The 21,849-nt window shown below is 45.3% G+C and overlaps 2 protein-coding genes and 1 long non-coding RNA gene across 9 annotated transcripts in view, besides 8 other annotated features; 1 reads left to right on the forward strand and 2 right to left on the reverse strand.

Moving 5' to 3' along the window:
* Positions 1 to 768: 768 nt before the first annotated feature.
* On the reverse strand, positions 769 to 1,828 carry LOC124901005 (uncharacterized). The gene is made up of 2 exons (XR_007058822.1): positions 1,171 to 1,828; positions 769 to 1,014 (listed from the first exon to the last, which is right to left on the reverse strand). It is a non-coding gene; the product is annotated as an uncharacterized LOC124901005 (long non-coding RNA).
* Positions 1,802 to 2,303: an enhancer, noted in NCBI's record as "NANOG-H3K4me1 hESC enhancer chr5:73920707-73921208 (GRCh37/hg19 assembly coordinates)". NCBI's record gives its function as "activates a minimal SCP1, AML or CMV promoter by ChIP-STARR-seq in naive H9 embryonic stem cells {active_cell/tissue: H9 hESC(naive)}" and the evidence as "EXISTENCE:reporter gene assay evidence [ECO:0000049][PMID:30033119]".
* Positions 2,304 to 2,803: an enhancer, noted in NCBI's record as "NANOG-H3K4me1 hESC enhancer chr5:73921209-73921708 (GRCh37/hg19 assembly coordinates)". NCBI's record gives its function as "activates a minimal SCP1, AML or CMV promoter by ChIP-STARR-seq in naive H9 embryonic stem cells {active_cell/tissue: H9 hESC(naive)}" and the evidence as "EXISTENCE:reporter gene assay evidence [ECO:0000049][PMID:30033119]".
* ENC1 (ectodermal-neural cortex 1) lies at positions 4,329 to 17,648 on the reverse strand. 7 transcript variants are annotated; one of them, XM_011543697.4, is made up of 4 exons: positions 17,227 to 17,648; positions 14,485 to 14,538; positions 11,604 to 13,418; positions 4,329 to 6,912 (listed from the first exon to the last, which is right to left on the reverse strand). In XM_011543697.4, the coding sequence occupies exon 3, from the start codon at positions 13,403 to 13,405 to the stop codon at positions 11,636 to 11,638; it is 1,770 nt and encodes a 589-aa protein (XP_011541999.1). In that variant the 5' UTR covers positions 13,406 to 13,418; positions 14,485 to 14,538; positions 17,227 to 17,648; the 3' UTR covers positions 4,329 to 6,912; positions 11,604 to 11,635. The 7 variants fall into 7 exon arrangements, 6 of the variants coding, with proteins under 6 accessions (XP_011541999.1, NP_001243504.1, NP_001243503.1 ...); NM_001256575.2 differs by having other exon boundaries at positions 14,414 to 14,538; NM_001256574.2 differs by having other exon boundaries at positions 14,485 to 14,621.
* Positions 7,829 to 8,642: an enhancer, noted in NCBI's record as "NANOG-H3K4me1 hESC enhancer chr5:73926734-73927547 (GRCh37/hg19 assembly coordinates)". NCBI's record gives its function as "activates a minimal SCP1, AML or CMV promoter by ChIP-STARR-seq in naive H9 embryonic stem cells {active_cell/tissue: H9 hESC(naive)}" and the evidence as "EXISTENCE:reporter gene assay evidence [ECO:0000049][PMID:30033119]".
* Positions 16,943 to 21,849, forward strand: part of HEXB (hexosaminidase subunit beta) — an 81,266-nt gene continuing 76,359 nt past the window's right edge. Inside the window, exon 1 of the mRNA NM_001292004.2 lies at positions 16,943 to 17,478. The gene's annotated coding sequence lies outside the window, so the exon portion shown is untranslated. The remainder of the gene's footprint in view (positions 17,479 to 21,849) is intronic.
* Positions 17,097 to 17,456: an enhancer, noted in NCBI's record as "active region_22670". NCBI's record gives its function as "activates an Ori minimal core promoter by ATAC-STARR-seq in GM12878 lymphoblastoid cells {active_cell/tissue: GM12878}" and the evidence as "EXISTENCE:reporter gene assay evidence [ECO:0000049][PMID:35858748]".
* Positions 17,497 to 17,756: a silencer, noted in NCBI's record as "silent region_16094". NCBI's record gives its function as "represses an Ori minimal core promoter by ATAC-STARR-seq in GM12878 lymphoblastoid cells {active_cell/tissue: GM12878}" and the evidence as "EXISTENCE:reporter gene assay evidence [ECO:0000049][PMID:35858748]".
* Positions 17,918 to 18,633: an enhancer, noted in NCBI's record as "H3K27ac-H3K4me1 hESC enhancer chr5:73936823-73937538 (GRCh37/hg19 assembly coordinates)". NCBI's record gives its function as "activates a minimal SCP1, AML or CMV promoter by ChIP-STARR-seq in naive H9 embryonic stem cells {active_cell/tissue: H9 hESC(naive)}" and the evidence as "EXISTENCE:reporter gene assay evidence [ECO:0000049][PMID:30033119]".
* Positions 18,634 to 19,347: an enhancer, noted in NCBI's record as "H3K27ac-H3K4me1 hESC enhancer chr5:73937539-73938252 (GRCh37/hg19 assembly coordinates)". NCBI's record gives its function as "activates a minimal SCP1, AML or CMV promoter by ChIP-STARR-seq in naive H9 embryonic stem cells {active_cell/tissue: H9 hESC(naive)}" and the evidence as "EXISTENCE:reporter gene assay evidence [ECO:0000049][PMID:30033119]".
* Positions 20,264 to 20,558: a silencer, noted in NCBI's record as "tiled region #10699; HepG2 Repressive DNase matched - State 6:EnhF". NCBI's record gives its function as "represses a minimal TATA promoter and a strong SV40 promoter by Sharpr-MPRA in HepG2 cells {active_cell/tissue: HepG2}" and the evidence as "EXISTENCE:reporter gene assay evidence [ECO:0000049][PMID:27701403]".

Consider the following 21,849-nt stretch of genomic DNA (forward strand, 5'->3'; position numbering starts at 1 on the left):
AAATTCCAACTGCCTTTTCTTGCTGCAGTCCCCCATCTTTGCAGAGATAAAGATTATGGTTGCCAAGGAAACAGGACCAGAGAGAGAAAGACAGAAACTTTGTCTCATTTGGTTTCCCCAGGACTCACAAAGCGAGCTGGGCTGTAAGCAGAGCTGGACAAGATTATGGTAGATTTATAATTTACTTAGTCAAATTGCTTTTAATTCATCGTCATGCCTCAATATACATTTTTTTCCCTCTGAAAGTTAGGTCTTGCACCTAGTTGTCCAATGTCTGACATATAACAGAGCTTTAAAATTCATTGTCTACGATTAAATTCAAATGCAGGACAGATGGCTTAGTCTGAGTATGTGTCAGACAGGCAAAGCACTTAAGATTTGTGACAGGCAAGACCAGGAATTAACTGCTAAGTTTTTGCTTTTATTCATACATTCATGTGCACCATGAATATGGCTGTAAAACTTATTTAAGTGTTCTCACTTTATTCAAAATATTCCCAAACAAAGCAACTGTTCTCCTTTTGCAAACCAGACTCCCTAATCTCAACCCCATTAACTCAAAATCCATTTTTCTCGTGCTATATGCACTGTGTACATTTTATTTACTCAGACAGTCAGGAGGATAACAGCAACCTTCTGAAAACCCAGCTTGCCTAGAACCCACAATGTTGGTCCCCACTTCATTTTTGTGAACCTTTTTATTGAAACATTTAATTATTTTATCGAGCAAACATTTGTCTGTGGAAATAAACAATGACCAGCCAAATGTGAACAAGCAAAGGCTATTTATTCAGAGCTTGCTATATAGCAAGAGAGTCAGCCACCGTCACTTGCATTTTGGCAGAGACTCAAAGGAAGACAAAGAAAAGGGAAAGTTTCATTGTGGGGAAAAAAGGGATGTCTTCAGGTTTGATTGGAGGCCGTTGGCATGGGGAAGCTGCAAGTGGGCCAACCAGAAGTGGGCATCCTGTGGTGTCTGAGTAGGGGTGCATATTTGGCTTTCTCTGGCTGGTCCTTAGTTAGAAGCAAGGACAAAAATCAGGGAAGTAGTCAGTTATTGGTCAAGTCCTGGCCATTTGGGGCTGACTGTGAATAATATAGGCATTATGATCTGGCTTTCTAAACCAGTTGCCAGAGATAGTGGTCTAACTTCCTACAGGTCTGACTTACGGAGAGCAGGCTGGCTTCCTGGGCTGATCACCATAGACAATGTGTTGGTTTCCTGGGCTGGTTGCTGCAGATTGTGGGTCAGAGTTCCATTTTCATACACGGTCTGGCCATTATCCATGGGTATATTCAATCATTTAGTCAATAAACATTTTACAAACAGAATAGCACAAAAAGCATCCGTGTACAGCTCAATGAATGATCAAGTGTAACAACCACCCAGGAGCCCCCGTTCATTTTTAAATTCTCTACAACTTATCTTCTGAAACTGGCTGTCAAGGAACATTTTGAGTCTCAATCAACTCTTTCCACTGGCTTCTTCAGTCCTCATGTCCAGGGCAAGGCTCACCAGCGGCAGGTCTCCTCGGACCACCTTACAGAGTCATGTGTTCCAGGCACGATGGAATGCAGGGCAGCCCTGGGTTTCTCACAGTCAGGCTCAGCCCTGTGAATCACCTTCCTCTACATTCCTGGACCTGGAGGAGCAGGTCAGAGTGTGTCTTGAAATCCACCTCCACCACTCCCTTGGGCAAGTTACATAATCTCTCAAGACCTGTTTCTTCATCTCCAAAATGAGAGTAATAATAGCACCTGCTCTCACAGGGTTGCCGGGGGGATGAGCAAGGTGAGAGGCTTGCAAACCCTTAACTCAGTCCCTGGCATAGAATAAGCACTCAGATTTTTATGTATGTATCTCTCCCCATAATGTTTCAAAATGGCAACTAAAAATTACTGAGGACCTACTATGTGCCAGGCACTGAGCCTGGTATTTACTCTTAAATTTCTTATATTATTAAATTTTTCTATTAGAAAGAATGTTAGTCATGCTTATTTTACAGATCGAGTATCTATGGCTCAGAGACGTTTAGAAATCTCGCTATATTTACCTCAATTTGTCATGAGGATTAAATGAGATGACTGTAAAGCAGGTCCTTAGCACAATCTCAGCTCATCACTTAATGAATGGGGCTATAGTTTACAATGACTCTTTGATGATTCCCTGTAGTACAGGGGTCCTTAGCCCCTGGGCCATGGCCCAGTGCCCGTGGTCTGTTAGGAAGTGGGCGGCACAGCAGGAGGTGAGCCTTTGGCTAGTGAGCATTACTGCCTGAGCTCCGCCTCCTGTCAGATCAGCGGAGCCGGGGAAGAGGGGGCAGTAGATTCTCATAGGAGCTGGAACCCTATTGTGAACAGCAGATGTGAGGGATCTAGATTTTGTACTCCTTATGAAAATCTAGTGTAGGAATGTCCAATCTTTTGGTTTCCCTGGGCCACATTAGAAGAAGAATTGTCTTGGGCCACACATAAAAGACACTAATAATAGCTAATGAGCTAAAAAAAATCACAAATAATTTAAGGTTATGAATTTGTGTTGGGCTGCATTCAAAGTCATCCTGGGCCACAGGTTGGACAAGATTGATCTGATGCCTGATGATCTGAGGTGAAACAGTTTTATCCCAAAAACATCCCTGCCGCCTCCAGGCCCAGTCCCCATCCATGGAAAAGCTGTCTTCCACAACACCAGTTCCTGGTGCCAAAAAGGCTGGGAACCATTGCTGTAGTAGATAAGCCTACCAACTGCAGAGAATAATCTGTGTATTTCCCCCTCCAACGTCTGCTCTCCCTTTGTTCCTTACTAATTAAATCACATTGCTGTGGGGTGGCAGTGTGCCAGATAAAAGTTCTGCCCTCCCCAAGCTCTCTTATATCTTGGGAAGTTCACATGTCCCAGTTCTGGCTACTGAGAGGTAAGTGTAAGTCTCCCGGTGAGCCTTTTGGGTAAACTATTACTATTCAAAGTAAAAGGGAGAATGTCCTCTGGCCTGAGCCCTTTCCCCTTTGTCTGCCCCACTTTTGCTGCCTGGAAAGCAGATGAGATGCCATGAGATGCAGCTGCCATCCTGCAAGCATGAGGCCTGATGGCCTCATGGGGGTGCTGTCCCGGCCCTGGACTGCCGACCTCCAACCCGTTTGCCTACTGTGGCCAGATTTTTATTACCATAGCTACTGTTTGGTGTGATCTATCTAAATGAAATGAAATTTCCAAATGAATGAAAATTAAGAATTTGAAGTATCTTTTTAATCTGTCTACATGTTCCGACTGAGATGATAAAGAGAAACAACTCCAGAGAATGAAAGATCTGTTCACAATCATGTCTACAGGAACCATTCTCAACCCCTCTAGGGATTAACATCAAGACTTTTTCCTGAGTCTAAATCCCATCCGTCAACTCCTAACTAACCCGCCGTTCTTCCCTGTCATTTGGTGTCATCCATATGGTGTCATCAACAGGGTTTCCACGGGTCTTCAACATCATGCACTTGGAATCTGAAGGCTGACACTGGTCCCCAAAGGCTTGGCTCTAGACCAGCCTCACACAGCACAGAACCGAATGATCCTCCTGTCAAACCCAAGGCATCTGCTCTGGCATCTTGGTCAAAGTCCAAAGGCTGTAATTGCATTATGCCTACTTGTGAGCTCTCCTAGAGTTCCCAATTAGGTAATATTTATTTTCTACCCAGAAAAGGTTATGCCCAACCTTGCTCTGCACACTGAAACAATAAGGGTTCCAACCCAAGTGATAAAGGAGCATCTCAGTGTGACATGAAGCCATCATGAGGTAGGGGCAGGAGGCTTCAACTGGCCTTATGCAGAGCCAGCTAGGACAGCCATCAGCTTGGAACAAACTAAGTATCCCTGAGGGGTTAAACTTGTGCTTTTCTGTGGCAGTACAGAAATAATATGCATATATTTCCACTTTAAATGATTTCTAAAGCAGATGTCAGCAGATGAAAAGAGGATTGAACTCCAGCTCCTTCTCTAACAGCTTTCTGTCAAAATATAACCCACGTGAGGATTTCAAAAAACTAAATTCATTCCAATATAAAGTATGCTGTCTTAATATCGCATGGTGTGTGACTTGTTATATTCCCAGCTATGAATAACCCATAAATGAGGAATTTTGTCTTGCTTAAAGAGATACTCTAATGGTCAGGAAGTTTTATTTAATATGCAAAATTACCTTTGTAAATATCACTAAATGGTGAAATAAAACACGTTCGGAATATCTGAAATGATCCTTCTTTGGATAAACGAGAAAAGGCACACGTTTACAATGCCTCAAATTGTGTCTTATTCAAATGAAGACCCACACACATAATGAAGAGAAAATCTCTAATAATTTATTGACCTTCAGTTTCACATTGTGAAAAAAAAAAAAATAACAGTTTTACAAAACCTCAAAATGTAGTCATAGCAAACAAGTACATATGAACATGAACATTTTCCTTCAACTTATACAGAGTTTTGTACGTGAACCACATGGTCAATAGCCAAGAGAGGGACATTATGCAGCTCTAATCACTCTTATTCAAGACAGGTGTCAAGCCCAAAGAAAAGGGGCTACACAATTATACCAGAAGTGGAGGGCTGCCCTTTGTTATGTGTTTCTACAGCAACCAGCCCACAAAATAAGAAGAACCTTCTCTGTCTTATGCCAAGGTTTTTGTGTGTACTGTGCTGTGAATTGTATTTGCTTCAAAGTGTGGGACGTTTCACAGGGTGAGAATGGTCAAGTAGTGAGACCAAATGCCTATATCGATTCAAAGAGTGGGAGTCCAGAAAGTTCCCTACAGGCTGGGGGCCCAACCCTTACCACAGCTCCCTCTGGCTCACACACAGTAATTAATAGAGGATTCAAGAACAGACCCCAACTTTGAAACAGCTGCAGAAAATTCATCCTGCTTTCAGAAGCCATGCAGTGACACATACATCTCTCTTGGCAGATTTGCATCATAAACTACAGAGCTGTAACTGCTACAATATAAACGACACTGACTATGCCCACTGGGGGACAATTAGACATTTGCATTGCTTAGAACACATCTAGGAACCAGGGACTGACTGCTGGAAAGTACTGTGATTCTTTTCTTCCAACAGCTCATTTATTTAGGCCCAACTACAGCCCACTCATTCATGGCATGGACGGACAAACACAATTAGTCTAAAGTACTAAGGTGGAGAGAAATGTTAAGGATTTATCTGTCATTAGACAATGCAAACACAGTCACAATGTAAAAGGTTGTTATCAGTCTTAACCCCTATTTTCTAAAATACAGCAATGTGAGAAACATGGACGAAAGCAGTTCGAGTTGCAAACTTTGGTCTTCCCCTGCACCTCAGGGGAAGCACCTATCTGAGACTAGCACTAATACCTACGACGGCACATGCTTAGTAAACAAGCACTCCAACTAGCAAAGAATGTATTCACAACTGATTTCCAACTCTACCGGAAAACTTCTCAATAGGGGCCACTGCCTACAATTCTTTGGTGTTTTGTGGCCAAATGTGTTACTTGTGCACCAAAGAGTTTTTTAAAAAGAGATTTGCCTACGGGTGAGCACTGAAGTATACATTGTGCCAATGTAATTATTGTCTTGGAGACCTTCTAGAACTTGCTAAATCATATAGCAAGAAGAGAATGAGTTCAGGCCCAGTAAATCTGGTGAGTTAATTTACATCTGTGATACTGCCGTTTTTCCCATTAAATGTGGTTATGGCAAAGCATTCTTAGGGTAATAAATAAATAAATAAACTTTGGACAATGCCTTTACTTGTGCCCTATATACAGAACTATTCCATAGAATTTTCCAGGATTTCAAGATACTACACAAAGAAAAAAACTGTAAAGCAATTTGGTCCTTTCCAAATTTCAGCAGCTGAGACTGAATTAAGTAAATCAGATGGGAGTGGGGAGAAGGGCAGAAAGCAGCCTCCCCTTACCCTATCAGCACAACCAAACCCCATGAAATCCCATTAAAAGTTGGTGAGTCTGAGAAAAGCGATCTCCACGGTTTCTCTACCTCTAGGATGTCATTTAAATTTCCATTTTGTCATCCTTCCCTGTCTTGACATTTTAAAAATCCACCCCTCCCCAACCCACCCTCCAGTTATGCTCCAAATTGTAACTCAAAAATTTTCATGTTTGTGCAGCAAAGCACATCTCAACAGCCACAAAATGTGCAAAACGTACAACCATTCACACACGTCCATACATGTGAAGACAGCTGTAGGCATTGTTTCAGCATGCAGGCATCGAACAATAAATAGCTAAATCTATAACAAACTTCTTAACAGCCAAGGGAAAGTTTAAAGTCACTTATAAATAGAAAAGAACATCTACCAAATGGCTACCAACAAAGTCCCCATTGTTCAGAAACGTTCCTGGGGAGCAGACCCCTTAGAGATTAACGGAGAGTCCAGTGGTCTTCATTCTTCAGCCAGCCCAGCCAGCTTCCCTCTCGGACCCACAGTTGGGCTTTGAATCTCCAGCAGCAGCTGGTGTGGAGGCTTCAAGCTCTGTCCTCAGAGAGAGGTGACAACCATTTCAAATTCTACACATAAATGGTGGGGCCCATGGAAATCAAATGCTGAATATGGTACAGCAAGGGAAAAGGTCCAGCTTTTCTCTCCCTTTGAGGGGCTGATTAACATTGACATTAATCCACAATTACAAGACAAGGACTAGATCACAGGTTTGTTCATTCATATTTAAACCATGTGCTACTTGCACCAAAAATCCCACCCCCCTCCCTCGCCCCTTTCCTTCATGTCCAGTTAGAGCATTTACAAGGTGCAGCAGATTTTATTCGAGTCTTGCAACTTCTTTTCCTTTTTTTCTCTTCATTAGACTTGGCCTCTCCGAAGTAGAAATCTCATATTATCTCATCGAGTGATGGAGTGAGCTGAAATAGAAGGAAAAGGAAAAAAAACAAAACAAAAAAGCATGAAGGATTTGTGTGATGCCATAGTTTTTAAATTTTTCTTATTAGCCACAAAATTTTTTTTTAAATTAAACTTGGTATGGAGCTGGACAATATTGCTTCCAAAGGTCTTACATGTTCAGTAGGAACTGTGCAAAGATATTTAAAGTACTTGCCTTAAATGCACACACGTGTGCACGTACACATCCATGCAGATGGCTGGCCTGACAAAAACAGTGGTGTCTAAAGAAGGACCTTCACTTCTTTCCTAAGCATACACACTTTCAAATCCAAACCTATATGTCTAGATGCTATTAGGAGTTGCCATCTTCTGCTTCCAACATTCATAAAATTTCTTTCTGTGGTTAAACAGAGCGACTGTAAAGTGATCACTAAGGGGTGAAAAGAAGGGAGATTCCTGTGCAAACCCTCCTTGGCCCATGTACCATGAAAGATTCCAAATTAACTTTACCATCTAGGAGGCAGACATACTAATCCTCTTATTTAAATGCATCTCTGTTATCCATTATGGCAGAAATCAGTCTCGCTTCCTTTCACATGACAATGTATCAGGCCTCAACAGCCCAAGTTTGGAGTTTATTCTCAAAGTTCGTCAGTCCACACGTAGGTGCCAGCAGCTACGGCATGCCAGTGCTACAGAATCTACGTACATCAAGTGTGAATATCAATTCAAAGTGCCGTAACCACAAAGCCTGCACATTTCATAGAGCTTGCATTTCCTCACACTGCTTACTCTTCCCATTTATTTATTTCTCATTTCATCTGGGGAAATTGTGCAGAGGGCTTTTGTATCCCTATTGCTGTAAGTCTAAGTACAGACAAAGGGAATTCTGGAGGAGCCACTCATGACCTTGCACTGAATTCTTTGCTTTTGTGTGTTCAGAAGCCTGATTCATTTCATGAGTTGTTTCTTTTGGCTGTTTCCTAACAGTGATTCAAGCTTTCAAGGCATGCCTTAGACTACGGTGTCATTGCCCCACCTCCACCTCCTTGTAACCTATATGTCAACATTAGGCCAAAAGAATGTATCTTATAATAATATAAAATTTCAAGACAATGCATATTCAAACAGGAAAAAAGGAATACACACACCCTCCCCCCAAAAAATTGCATATTCAAACAGGAACGATAATAAAAAAAAAAAGGACACACAACAACAACAACAACAACAAAATCTAGAGAAGAAACAAAGCAAATCAAAGCCTAAGTTAGGTTGAGGCCACACGGCACCATGAAAACAGAGGATAATCAAAGTAATTTCCTTTCTGCCCTTCCCACCCACTGGCAGAGCAGCAGGAGGCAGATAAAACCTCCTAGGTGGATGAGCTTTAAGACCTAGGGAAACTTTCTGTTAAACACTCTATTAATTCCGTTAGCACCTACATTTGGAGGGCAGAGGAATTTGCAGTTTGGGACTGAGACCCACCTACCCAGCACTTTAAGGCACTCCAACCCCCTCTTAAATGTTTTAGCACTATCTTGTGTAGTAAACTTTAGAAATTTTAACCAACATTCTCCCTGTCGGAAATTCAAAGAGTGGCTTTGATCAGGCGCTTACGCTGCCCTTTAAAAGCAGCAAACTTGGCCCTGTCAAATTTAGTTTTCATGTGCTTGACTCTCTCACTGGTAGCGCCAAGGGTGAAGAGGATGTTATTTCACATATAACTTAACACTTTACTTGCTCTGTTTCCCAGCGACCGGAAGGGTATGATTCAGTTCAAACACCCAGGGTAGGGTGAAGTCAAGTGTTTGCCAACATGTTCACTCTGGGCTGAAAAAGGAGGAACCAAAAGTGAAGTCTAAAGATAACAAGCAGATAATAGTCAAAGAAACCTCATTTTCCTACCACACAGAAAGCTAATTCCACTGCCATTATCTCACAGTAAGTTACTACACGTCAAGCACTGGGCTAGGTATTTTCGCCTCTTTTAACTCCCCTATCAATTGACCCAAGTCTGAGTTGGGACAGATCACAGGAGATTAAAGATCAAACCACTCATTTGACAGAGAAGCAACCTAAAACTCAGGAAGGTCTAGAACTTAAAACTAGGGCCAGAATACACATGTGGCTTCTCTCCTCTTTCTGCCTCAATTTCCTTACCTTGTTCCAAGGATTCCAGCCAGCCTGCCCATTGTCATTTTTTATGTACCACCACCCTGGTAGCAATTTTTATGGCTCTTCTGTGCAAATATAGTCAGTTCTGGACTAACACCCAACTAAGTGTGCTGTTAATTGATGCTTTCGCCTAGGAGGTTCTTTAAACCTGCTTTAGAGGTGAGTCATGCATTCATATCTCAAATGAAATAACCACTTTCAGAGCATTTGTTTATTCAAGATTACTGAGATGCCAGCAAGGCTACAAAAAACCAGTTTGGTGTGAGACACTATTAGCCCAGTTGCTCCCCAGAGGAGGTGTCTGATTGTTCCTGCTGCTTTGAAGGAGTTTCATTCCAGGAAAGCATGACATAACTCAGAACTCTGATAACTGTACGAAGGCTGGAAGAGATAACTGAAGAAGTAAAAAAAATAGCAAGCTGGAGGCCAAGTGCGGTGGCTCACGCCTGTAATCCCAGCACTTTGGGAGGCTGAGATGGGTGGATCACTTGAGGTCAGGAGTTCAAGACCAGCTTTACCAACATGGTGAAACCCCATCTCTACTAAAAATACAAAAAAGCCCGACGTGGTGGCGGGCACTGTAATCCCAGCTACTTGGAAGGCTGAGGCAGGAGAATCCCTTGAACCCAGGAGGCGGAGGTTGCAGCGAGCTGAGATAGCACCATTGCACCCCAGCCTGGGAAATAGAATAAGACTCTGTCTCAAAAAGAAAATAAAATGGCAAGCTGAAATGTGAGAGTGAGGCCAAGTTTAATGATGTTTCTAAATGAGCTGTAAGGGACAGGGAAAGAAAAGACCAATGAGATGAAACCCCTCTGTGCTTAGCTTGCCACTAGGCCTAGATCTCCTTTTCTCCCTTTGAAGTCCCCTTCAAAGGTGTGAAACATACTAGGGAAAACAGAGCCAAAAGTTCCCAAGTAAATGAGTTTGTTTTCATTGTAGTTCCTCCAAAGCAGTTACTTTCTTCTCTTATTATTAGTAATAAGCCCATGAATCACCAAAACAAGTCAACACATCCTGTGTGCGCTGGGCTATACTTACACATGCCTAAGCGATTCCTGGGGCCAATCCTAAGAATGCTTAGCAGCAAAGCAGCCGTGAGCTTTGCGAACTCTGAACTGTGTAGGCCTATTAATTATTTGAGCCAAGAGTATTCTATACTCTTAAATACACAGACAACTATTATGTACTCAGATATATGACTCAGAAACACAACTTTTGTTAGCCTTGACAATAGGGTCGGCCTGACTGATTAACTCTGAAAGGCCATAGTTTGGGAAGTTTAGGTGGCTCTGTGTTATCTGCACAAATTTCTGCTATGTACATGCAACCTTTTACAAAGACAGATATAGATTTATCTTTAAAGGTAATAAACGCCTTAAAGGGGGCTACTTTTTAAGTAAAACATTTAAAATAAGCTAATAATTTTGGAGAGAATAAACTAGGAATGAATTTGAGCAATACATTTTTAAACCCTAATCATTCTACAAAGGGTTTGAGGAAGCAAAATTTGAATATAAATGAAGTATCACCTGGGATGACATTGGTGTCATGGATGTGAAGCTCAAGTTTATTCGGTGGCAGTGCAACACGATGCTCCAGTGCTGATGCCCTAGAGCCAGACCCCCTGCATTGACTTCCTAACCAGCTCCACCTCTTACTAAGCTCTGCTAACTCGGGCAGCTTAGCCTCCGTAATGCATGAAGGTTTTTTCATCTATAAAATGAAGCTAGTAATAATTCCCCACGGGGTTGTTGTGAGGATAGAATGAGATGATCCGTGGGAAACACGTGGCACCGCTGCAAGCACACAGTGAGGGCTCAATAAACATTAGCTGGCATACTTAACAGAGGTCAGGGGTTCTCAACTTGGTTGTTCATTGGAATCATCCGGAAACTTTTTAAAAATACTGATGCTTGGACCCCACCCCAGACCAAATGAAACTAAGTCTCTGGGATGGGCAGTTTTTAAAAAAGCTCTTCAGGGCCGGGTGCGGTGGCTTATGCCTGTAATCCCAGCACTTTGTGAGGCCGAGGCGGGCGGATCATGAGGTCAGGAGATCAAGACCATCCTGGCCAACATGGTGAAACCCCGTCTCTACTAAAAATACAAAAAATTAGCTAGGCCTGGTGGTGGGCGCCTGTATCCCAGCTATTCGGGAGGCTGAGGCAGGAGAATGGTGTGAACCCAGGAGGCGGAGCTTGCAGTGAGCCAAGATCATGCCACTGCACTCTAGCCTGGGTGACAGAGCGAGACTCTGTCTCAAATAATAATAATAATAATAAAATAAATAAAAAGCTCTTCAGGAGATTCTGAGGCTCAGTAAAAGCTGAGAACCACTGGCTAATGCCATGGTGGGGGCTGAGGCTGTGGTCAACACAAGTGGATAAGTTCTAGGGGCACCAGCTCTCTTATTTTTACAGCTTTGGTAGTACTTCTGCAGTACAGTCTCTGTGGATCAGATCTCACCCCATGTACTGAACTTACACAATAGCCTAATTATATGCATACTTACATCTATAGCTAAACTTCTTACCTCATGCTCACTCTCTTTAGAATGTACTGCATTTAAGAAGGCAGATGTTTCCAGGTGCTGACAAATGCAGTAGGAATCAGCGAGTACGGGACAGTGGTGATGCTGTTCCACACGTCTAATGTTGGATCGTAGCAGTCCAAAGTCTTGCATCGCTGAATGCCAAAGTATCCTCCAACCACGTAGAGTTTGTTTCCAGAGGCCACAGCATGGCAGCTCATGCGCTTTGCTGTCACATCTCCCACCTTGGTCCACTGGTAAGTCTCACTGTTGAATTTATAAGCAGAGCAGGCAGAGAATTCTGTATCACCCCCCATAATAAAAATCTGGTTCCCCAGCACAGCTGCTGCTGTGTAACGCCAGGGCTGGGGACAGGTGGCCGGTACAGTCCACCTGTTTTCACACTGATCGTAACACTGAACTTTGGGGAGCTTGTCATGACTGACACTGGTACCTCCGAAAGCAAATAACTTAAGTTTGGCACTCACTACTGCGGCGTTGCTAACGCCTTCTCGGAGTGGGGCCACCATGGTCCATTTGTTGATTGTGGGGTCATAATGTTCTACCTGCTTTAGAGAGACTGAGGGGGAGGCCGGGAGGCAGCCAGTTGCGGCCGTGTGCCCCCCAACCACATACAGGCAGTGCTTCAGTTCAGCAGAGCCATGGCCAAACCTGGCCACCAGCATGGGGGCAGCCTTGGACCACTCCTCGTGCAGGGTATCATAAACCCAGACATCTTTTGAGACCCCATTTTCAGACCCCCGCCCCCCAGTAATGTACACTTTGCAGCCAATCGCACATGCACTAAACTCTTTTCTTGGGCTGGGAATGTCAGCCTTGGGAATGATTTCTTTGGCCTTCTGGTCTACCAGATACAACTTGTCACACATGAAAGTCTGTCCTCCCAGAAGGAAGAGGGCATGGCCAGTTTTCCGAGGTCGGGCACAGAGGCTGGTTACCACACCGTCATTCTGCAGGATTTTCAGTTTGCACCTGATGGCCTCTTCCACAATTTCCTTACTCTTTCTCTGCTTGGTGATGAGTTCCTCCATGGCCACATTCTCCATGAGATAGATGGCTGGCAGAAGTGCCAGCCTTACTGTCTGCAACAGTTCTGGGAGGTAGCAATAGCGCTTCTTCAGGTCATAGCTGATCCAGTTAATTGCAGACTCGTACACAAGCCTTTCATCCTCTGTCTCCAGCTCTTCACTGGACAAGAGTTGCACTACCATGTCCTGGGGCAGCTGGAGGAAATCTTCATTCTTCCTGATGGTTTGGAAGTTGCTGAGACACATTCTCCAAGATAGTTCGTACAGCTTGGTGCACTGGTGTGCATCAGACAGCAGCAGCATGCCCAGGCAGTTGGTGGGATGCAGGTTCTTTTCCAGGAACTCTGCACATGCATCCCGGATGTCTTGAAACTCCAGCATGTCACCAGCTTCCAGGAGCGATTCTGCATTTTCTTCATTGATGATGACCCGGGAGGAGTACGCATAGTCAAGCAGCAGCTCCAAGACTTCTGGGTGGATGGAATTGTCAAAGTTGACCTCACTGTCCTGGCTCTCTTTCAGGCCACCACTGAACATGGCCTCAAAGTAGCGACTGCATGCAGCCAGCACTGCCCGGTGGCAAGGGAAGGTCCTATTTCCGGCATGGAGAAGGACGTCAGTGAAGAGACGCTGCTGGCGTAAAAGATTCAGGTGAGTGAGGACGCTGTCAGCGTAGGAGGACTTGTGAAACAGATAGATGTTAATGGAGCCGCTGCTGGCCCTGGACTTGCGGTTCTCATGCACACTGACTGACATTTTGTTTCCACTCCTAAAAATAATAATAATAATAAATTGAAAATGATGCTCCTGATGTTCAGAACAGCAGAACGAAAGCAACAATGGTTTTGCACAAAAAACAGAACACTTTGTTGTTGACCATGCCACCTACTATTCTAGAATAGTGTATGGCCATTCCAGGACAAAGCCAGAGACAACTACCCGGAAGGAAGGATATTCACTGCTAATACTGTTGAGCTATTTGAACTCTGCACTGTTTAAAAAAAAAAAAAAAATCACTGCATAAAAAGCAGGTTCATCTTGGAAAACCTGATTGCCAACTTTCAGGCCATCGAAGTCTTTTAGAATATAAGTCAGCAAAAGCCAAGAGGAGTGAGTCTCATTCCCACAGCTCCCTGTCCTAGTCCAGCTCATTCACTGCGGGCCACTTAAAATGCCAGGTCTCCTGCTCTTATAATGCCAGGATGGGCACTGGCTTTCATGCCCCATGCAACATAAAGCCATGCGTAAAACAAACACCTAATAATTAATTCCATTAAGAATTCCTTTGGTAAGATCCAATCTCCCAGCACATACAGTAAATGGGAAATGTAAGGCCAACTTCTGCAATGATCAGACCTTTATTTAAATGTTACAGATAATGTATTTCATTTTATATATACTTTTGAGACCAAGTCTCGCTCTGTCACCCTGGCTTGAGTGCAGTGGTGCAATCACAGTTCACTGCAGCCTCGAACTCCTGGACTTAAGTGATCCTCCTGCCTTGGCCTTCCGAGTAGCTGGCACTAAAGGTGTGCACCACCAAACCCAGATAATTTTTTGTATTTTTTGTAGAGACCGGGTCTCAAACTCCTGGCCTCACCTGATCCTCCCACCTCGGCATCCCAACTTAAAGATTAATTTCTAACCAGACAGCTCTACCACTGAAGAGTCCTAAAAGCACCCCAATTTCAACATTAACCATATATTGATCAGCAAGCCTTTAGTCAAAGCACAGAATAAATTCTGGCCATAATCACCAACTACCTGTCTTGCTCGGGACAGCTTCCAATGTGAGGATTTGGCACATAAAAAGAAGAATATTTTGAGTAGCATACTTATGACTGCTGTTTTCTGTTCTTCCCGCTTTATATCAATTCTTGGAAAACCAGCTGCAAGAACAAAAGATCCATCCGTCTTTTGATTAAATAGTGCATCACTAGGACTGTTCCTGTATACCTGCAAATGCTGACACCTGCATAGAAGGAGTTCAAAATGCAAACACTGCTTTATTTAAATCAAAAAATACGTGTGTGTGTGTGTGTGTGTGTGTGTGTGTGTGTGTGTATTTTGCCAGCTGTTGTTAATTTAGGGCCACCCCAGAATTTATTTGCTGACTACAGTGCTTTCCTTGGTATCTACATTGAAATTATAGTAGAATCTAATGCTATCTTTTGGTTTTCTTCAGTAAGAAAACAGTAGGGTAGAGACATAGGAAATGCTTGTCACCCATCTTCAAAAACTGAATCACATGCCTTCATCCTTTTCTTTTACACCATCCCTCTGTTACTTCAAAGGAATGAAGTCCTCAAGAACCTGCCTGTCCAAGGATTCCTAAGGAAGCTGTTTATCCCGCTGTTTATCCCCAGAGGGTAAACTGTGTGGCTGGTTGCAGTATCTGTTCCAGACACATAACAGCCAGTCCCAAAAGCGCAGCTGAAACTCTGTTTCCTTTAACCATTCAGACATTTTTAAATGCATATTCTAAGAATTATTAATAAATGCAAATGAATGATTTGCCACAGATTCATGGGCTAAAATACTAACCTGCACCTCCCCAACCAGATGTGAGCCCCACTATAAGACTGCACAGAAAACCACAAAGGCAGGGGCATGACACATATACCTCATACCATTAGGTGATGCAACTAGTTTTCTTTCCTTTTTGGAATATAATTTTTTATGATGAGTAAACATGGCTGAGTGGAAGAAAGGAAGCAACAAAGTCCTAGAGCTCCAGTGTTAGGAAGACTTTACAAAGCACCCAGTAATTTCCACAGTGACTTGAGATATAAAAAATGGTGAGGAGCCAGCTTCACTCCCACCTCAAGCTAAGCATCTACTGTCTACTCCATTCTAACCAATGCCCAGTGTTTTGGAGAATGACCATATGAACCTATGGGAATGCATCAGGTTTCCAAAGGGTTAAAACATTCATTAGCATTCTCAATGCTCCACCACTGTAGTTGCTATTTTAATTAGTACATTCAATCTGGAGTATCTGGAGGAAGACTTTAAACCTAAACCTCAATAGACTGTCTACTTACTCTTGTGAATCTGCCGCCTCTCTCAGAGCAAATGCTGCCCTGAGTGAAGGAAGAATGAGGCTCCCTGAAACTAGGTGCACAGGCACCAAAATGCTTACACATTGAGCTGGAATCATGCTAGGCCCAGAACACATTTCCTTGAACATTAAATTCAGGATGGTGCAAAACAACATTCACAACCAGACTTACACCTAAGAAAACAATTTGCTTAGAAGACCTTAGGATATAGGATCTACATCTCTCCGCATCCTGTGTTTATGCTCCTGTATGTTCCAGGTTGGCCCAACAAGCCAGAAGGAAGAGCCTAGCCTGTCATCTTGGATACCACCCAGATGGAAAAGCACGTCACAGTCAAAATCACAATCAACATTCTTGCAACAATGTTTGATTAAAATAAAAAGTAAACTTGGAAACCCAAGAGGAAATACTTGCTTTCTGGTTTAAAACTGTGCAAACCTCAAAATATCAGCAGAAACCATGTATACAAGTCACTGAACACACCTTCAACATAAAATGAATCATCTTTCGAGCATTTTTAAGCCCCCAGAGAAATCACATTTGCATACCAAGTAAGTGGCCAAGAAAATGCACACATGTACTTAACCTACGTCTGCAAAGAAGACAGAGAAAGGGCTGCTATTACTGTGAACATCAAAAGGGCTTCAGTTACAGTAACTTCAGTTCACTTCATGCTCCTAACTCAGGCTCTCTGCCTCCAATGCTTAGCGTCCCGCACCCTTCTCCAGGTTTTGAACCTGATCTCAATCCAATCAAAAGAGAAACTAAGCAGATTTTTTTCTGGGCATTTACATTACCGGTAACAATAGAACATTATAAAGATCTTGTTAACAAAAGTAGCTTCTTGCCAGAGTCTTTTTATTAACACTTGCAACGCTATTTAACAAGCTGGCCATGCCTGTGTGACACCAAACCGCATGTGGATAAATTCAGTGTTTCATCTCCAGGCCCACCAATTCCTATCCTTTGTAACTAATAATGTTAACACGACAGATCAAGAAACTAGTTTTTCAGAAAGCAGTTTTCATTCATTCTCTATAGACATTTCCGCCGCAGTGAACATGCCCGCACTCAGGGTGTCTGTGCATGGCCCCAACTTTCCTCCAAGCCGGGGAGGATGCAACGTGGGCCAACCATCCCGCGCGCTCGGCCCTGGAGGCTGCGGGGAGCGACGCAGCGCGACATTCACCCCCAGGAAAGCGCTGCTTTCCGCAGAGGAGAGAGGCTGACTGTATCCTTAGCTCGGCTCCTCGCTTCCCCAGCGGCTCGCCCCAGACATTGCACCGCGGAGGGGAGGCCGGTCGACCTCTCCGGCGATGCCCGGCTTCTGCCTGCTGTGGGAGGGCAGCGGCGGGCACCGTGATCTCCGCACCGAGAAGAGCTCCCCTTGCCCTCTAGTCGAAGCTCCCGAGTGCTCGGAGCACGCTCACCCCTCGCGAACACACCCCTGCAGCCGAAGCAGCCCCTGAAGCCCGCAGCGCCTGCAACAGGTCCGGGGCAGTGGGGGAAACTTACAGCAGTGGCGACTGGCCGCAACGCACAACTGAGTTCTAGCGACGGTCACGGGCAAGGAGGCGACGAACCGGTCGTCTCAGCCCAGGGAAGCGGTGGCGAATGCCCCGGAGAAAGGAGGGCCAGCCGGGGAGAGGACTGCGCCCCGAACGATGGCTCGCGGACCGGCTACCGATGGCGTTCGCCTCCGTCTGTCGTCCCCACGCCGCGGACCCGGTGTCCAGGACCCGCAGAGCGTCTCCGGAGCGCGTCACGGTAGGGCAGAGCAAGCCTGCCACTGCAGGCGCCGCGGAAGGAGGCGGGCTGTGCGCTCGGGGGAGGGAGCTAGAAAGCGCCTTGTGTGCCGGCGGCCGCCAGGCGTCTGGACCGGGTCTCCGCAGCGCCACCGCCGCACCGCCTCCTCTCCGGCTGCCAGAGCAGTCTGCGCCCCGCCGCCGTGCGCCCCGCTATAAGTGGCGCGGCGGGGAGGGGAGGGGGCGCGTATGCAAAGAGACCGACACCGGGGGAGGGAGGAAGCGCATTAGCGCGGCCTGTGGTGTAGGAGGAGGAAGAGGAGGAGAAGGAGTGGGAGGAGGAGAGGAGCTAGAGAAGAGCGTGTCGGGGGAGTTAATCGGGAGAGGAAGCGGGAGAGGGGGGCTGCGGGGAGTGCAGAGAGACAAAGCGGACGCACTGTCTCAGCCGCTGGCAGCTGCAACCCCGGGAACCGAGAATAAAATAAGTTTTCCCGGGTTCGAGTGTCTGCGCCTCTTTGGGCCAGCCTGGTTAATGGACAGCCCCGGATCTGAGGGACCCACCTTAGGGGAGCGCAGCCCGGGGCTGTGCGCTTGGTGATGCCAGAGCCCGCGAGATGCTCTAAAAAGGGCTGCAAGGGGCGAGCTGGGTATCCGCAGGACAGGCCCTGGGCACGCATAGACAGCGCCTTGGGTAGGACACCCAGAGTGGGGAGAGATAGTGGCAATGGACGGGCAAAAGTCTGGACAGTTTAGGGACACTCGGGTTGAGCAAGCCAGGACGTTTAAGTTTCTTGCTGGCAGAGAGCCAAAGAGACTCCAGCCCCAGGCATTTCCTATGTGTCCTCCCTCCCCACTCCCCAGTGGGTGCGGCACCCCCGGCTGGACTCTGCCCTAAGCCAGGCGACTGCAGGGGCAGCCGGGGCGCAGTCCTGCGGGGCGCGCACCACGTGCTTTTCAGCCAATCGCCGCGGCCGCTTGATTCAAAGTGAACTCCTCAAAGCAGCAGCCACGCCGCCTCCTCTCCTAGCGATTAAGCCTCCATCACCTTCTCCTGTTTTTTATCGCTCGGTGGTGTTAGTTTGGAGTTCAGTAAAGAAATGGCCCAGCACACACACACGTTTAATAGTCCCGCGTGTCAGGAGAAGGGAAGGCGATTCGAAAAATAATCTCGCGTGGTGATCACTTTTACGAATCCCATTTATCTTTGCAACTAGAGGCTTGTCTTTCCACTGGGAGTTAAAATATCTGTCTTTTATTCGGTATTTGGAGCTAAGTCTATAAATGAACGGGATAGATGACCGGTCCAGCCCCCTTGTTTTACAGGTGGGGAACCGAGGCCCAGGGAGATGTGAATTGCCTGGCTCGTAGTCACTTAGCAACAATGTCCCAGCTCTGCAGCTCGAGAGTGAGGGCCCCACGACAGAGTTTATTCCGTCCCCGGGTCCCCGCGTCCCCAAGCGCCCGCGCTTCGCCTCCCAGCTTGCTTTAAAACACTAGGCGCAGGAGCGATTTAAACTGGCTAAGGAGGCCCCACATGGCGCTTCCAGAGTCCAGACTGCTGAAACCAAGACTGTCAGTTCTTCATTCTAATTTCATTTTCCTTTATCCTTGTTCCTTCCTGGTATTTGCGCCGAGAAATTTCGCTCCTTGCAAACAAAGAAAGACAGTGCCCTCTGAAGTCCTTTGTTAGCATTAACTCGGCAGCCTCACCACGAACCTTTCAATATATATATTTTTTAATGCAGAGTCTCGGCTTGAGGCTGATTCACAGAGACAGCCCGGATCAATTCATGTCAAGAACCACGTATGGAGAGCCAGGGGGGCTGCGAGGTTAGGAGAGGGCTGGCAAGCAGCACCCAGGTTCTGAAGCAAAGACCAGACAGATGGAAACTCTGTAGACTCCAGAGATAGGTGCTGAAAAGATGGGAGGCGGAAATGTGTAACTATTGCACATATGTCTTTTTAAAACATGTTTCTGTAGCCTGTGGCAAGGTGTGGGGGAGCTCATCAAGGCAGCCACCAACGCACCTTTTAGACACCTCCTAGACCCACTCTGTCTGCTTCCTTTGTGAGTCAAATCTACCTAAAACGGCACCTAGATGACCTTGCCTAGAAATGGACTATGTACATAGCTCAGCTGGTTGGTTGGGGATTTTGCCACAGGAAGCGACAGAACTAGGGACAGGTATGTATCTTTACCACCTAGAAATTGCGGGATGTCCTTAACCAAGGGAACAGCAAAGTTCAGATCCCTTTGCAAAGAACTTTGCTAAGCAGGCAGGGCTGAGAAAGGAAAGAAATCCGCTGGCCATTGTGTCACCATCCGCTGGTGCCACTTTCCTGTATCTTTTCTACCTAATGTTGCCACTTTCTATGCTTCAATAGAAGAAAGGGAAAAAAAGCTGTAGACTGGAAAATCTTGAAATGCATTCAGTGACCGTATACATTCGCTTCATCTGCCTCGGGGAGATAAGCAATACAAGAGAAAAGAAATTAGCTTATGTAAGTCCTAAAAACTGGAAAACATTTTCCTGCTGAAAGTCACAAGAACTAAACTTGCAAGTTTGGAAATCATGGGTGCTACTGATGACCTCCTACAAACTGTACTCTGGTTTGCTTGAGCCAATCTATGACTAGTTTTCGGGCAGTTGGGCAGTTTTTAATGCTTATCTCAGCTGAAAATGATTTGCAAGTTAGCAAATTTATGATCATAGCAATTCAAACGGTGTAATCCCACAGCATCTCTCAGCCAATCCTAAAGGTAACTCTTATCACCCCACTCACACAAAGAAAAGCTGAGCAAGTCTTCATTTTGTACAGGAAGAAACTTCTAAACAGGGCTGTCATCAAAACTGGACGACCATAGACATAGCAGATATCTGAGTCACAAACAAGTCAGGAAATGCTGCTTACACTGTATCCGCATTACACAATAGCCAACACTTCACACAAGACATTAGGCCAGTCCTGTAGGCCCTTGGGAGCAGGTCTTTGCCTCTGTCTTGTGACATCAAACCAAAGTCTCATTTTTTAATGCTATTAAGAAGCTGTGCCCAAGGCTTTGGGCTTGTTATCTCCCCTAACAATGTTATTTTGTTAGGCCGCAAAATAAGCAGCATGCGGTTAAATGTATTAGCTGCCTTCAAACCTAATTTATCTTCATTCCTTCCTAATTTACACTTGGGCTGAATTAATGAGAATGATTTAATTAACACGGTGCGATCATGGTACCAGGGACAGGACAGCTCAGGGAATTAGACCAAACAGTAGGCTAAGCAGCTGCCATCCTGCCTCCGGTGGTCTCCTGAAGCCCCACCCAAATTCAGACATGTTCCCTGCTGGTATTCCAAAAGCGCCCTCTTTGTTTTATGAGGACACTTTCTGAATCTGTGCAAGGAAGATAGCACAGCTTTCCTTCCCCGAGTTATTTGCTAGATGGACTTCAAGGCTGTGTCCTGGAGACAGAGTGTGGCAGAGGGGCCAACTGCCCACCAAAGATTTGTGCTCCCCTTCCATAGTGTCAAGTTCGTGTTGGGAAGTGGACGCCCAGTCAGGGACCACACCTCCCAGTAGCACATATGTTGCGATCAACATCCCTGAAGGGGAAGGGAGGGAAGCAGGGTGGACAGATGGAGATGCTGAGCTGGGATGTGGTCTCAGCCAAGCCTTGGCTGACGCCATGGGGACCTCTGGAGCTGAAATGGCCTCACAGGTTGTCTGCATTTAGGGCAAGAAGGCTTTTATAGGGCTACATCACCCAGTTGCTGAATGCAGCTTGCCCAGGGAAGGGACCATGGCTTTGGGCAAGGTGGTGCTCTTTTGCTGAGGGAGCTGCCAGCACACACAGAGGCTGGAGGAATAAGCCCTCCATTCCCAAAGGAGGATCTGAAGACCTCAGAACAGTGAGAATACAGATATACAAACCTAGGAAAATGAGACCTCAGCTTCCATCAGCAATCCTCTTATTTTTAAAAAGAGAGAGAGAGGAAAGTCTGGCTGTTTATTAAAGAGATGAGAATAAGGAAAAACACAGGTAATCGATACAAGAAATTATCAGCATTTTATAAAACAGTTATCACTTTTTTGTCTGGGGAAGACAAAGGGTCTAAATCGATAGTTTTCTAAATTTTGGTTTGCCATCTTCTATCTTTGTGCGTTAAAAAAAGTTATGTTTATGTTAAATATCTGTCATGATAAACCTTGAGAGTATTCTTCCTCTTTTTTTTCCTTTTTTTTTTTTTTTTTTTTTTTTTGAGACAGAGTCTCACTCTGTTGCCCAGGCTGGAGTGCAGTGGCGCAATCTCGGCTCACTACAACCTCCCCCTCTCAGATTCAAGCAATTCTCCTGCCTCAGCCTCTCAAGTAAATGGGACTACAGGCGCCTGCCACCACA

The sequence above is a fragment of the Homo sapiens genome, chromosome 5 (assembly GCF_000001405.40).
Source record: "Homo sapiens chromosome 5, GRCh38.p14 Primary Assembly".
In the NCBI taxonomy this organism is placed as follows: domain Eukaryota; kingdom Metazoa; phylum Chordata; class Mammalia; order Primates; family Hominidae; genus Homo; species Homo sapiens.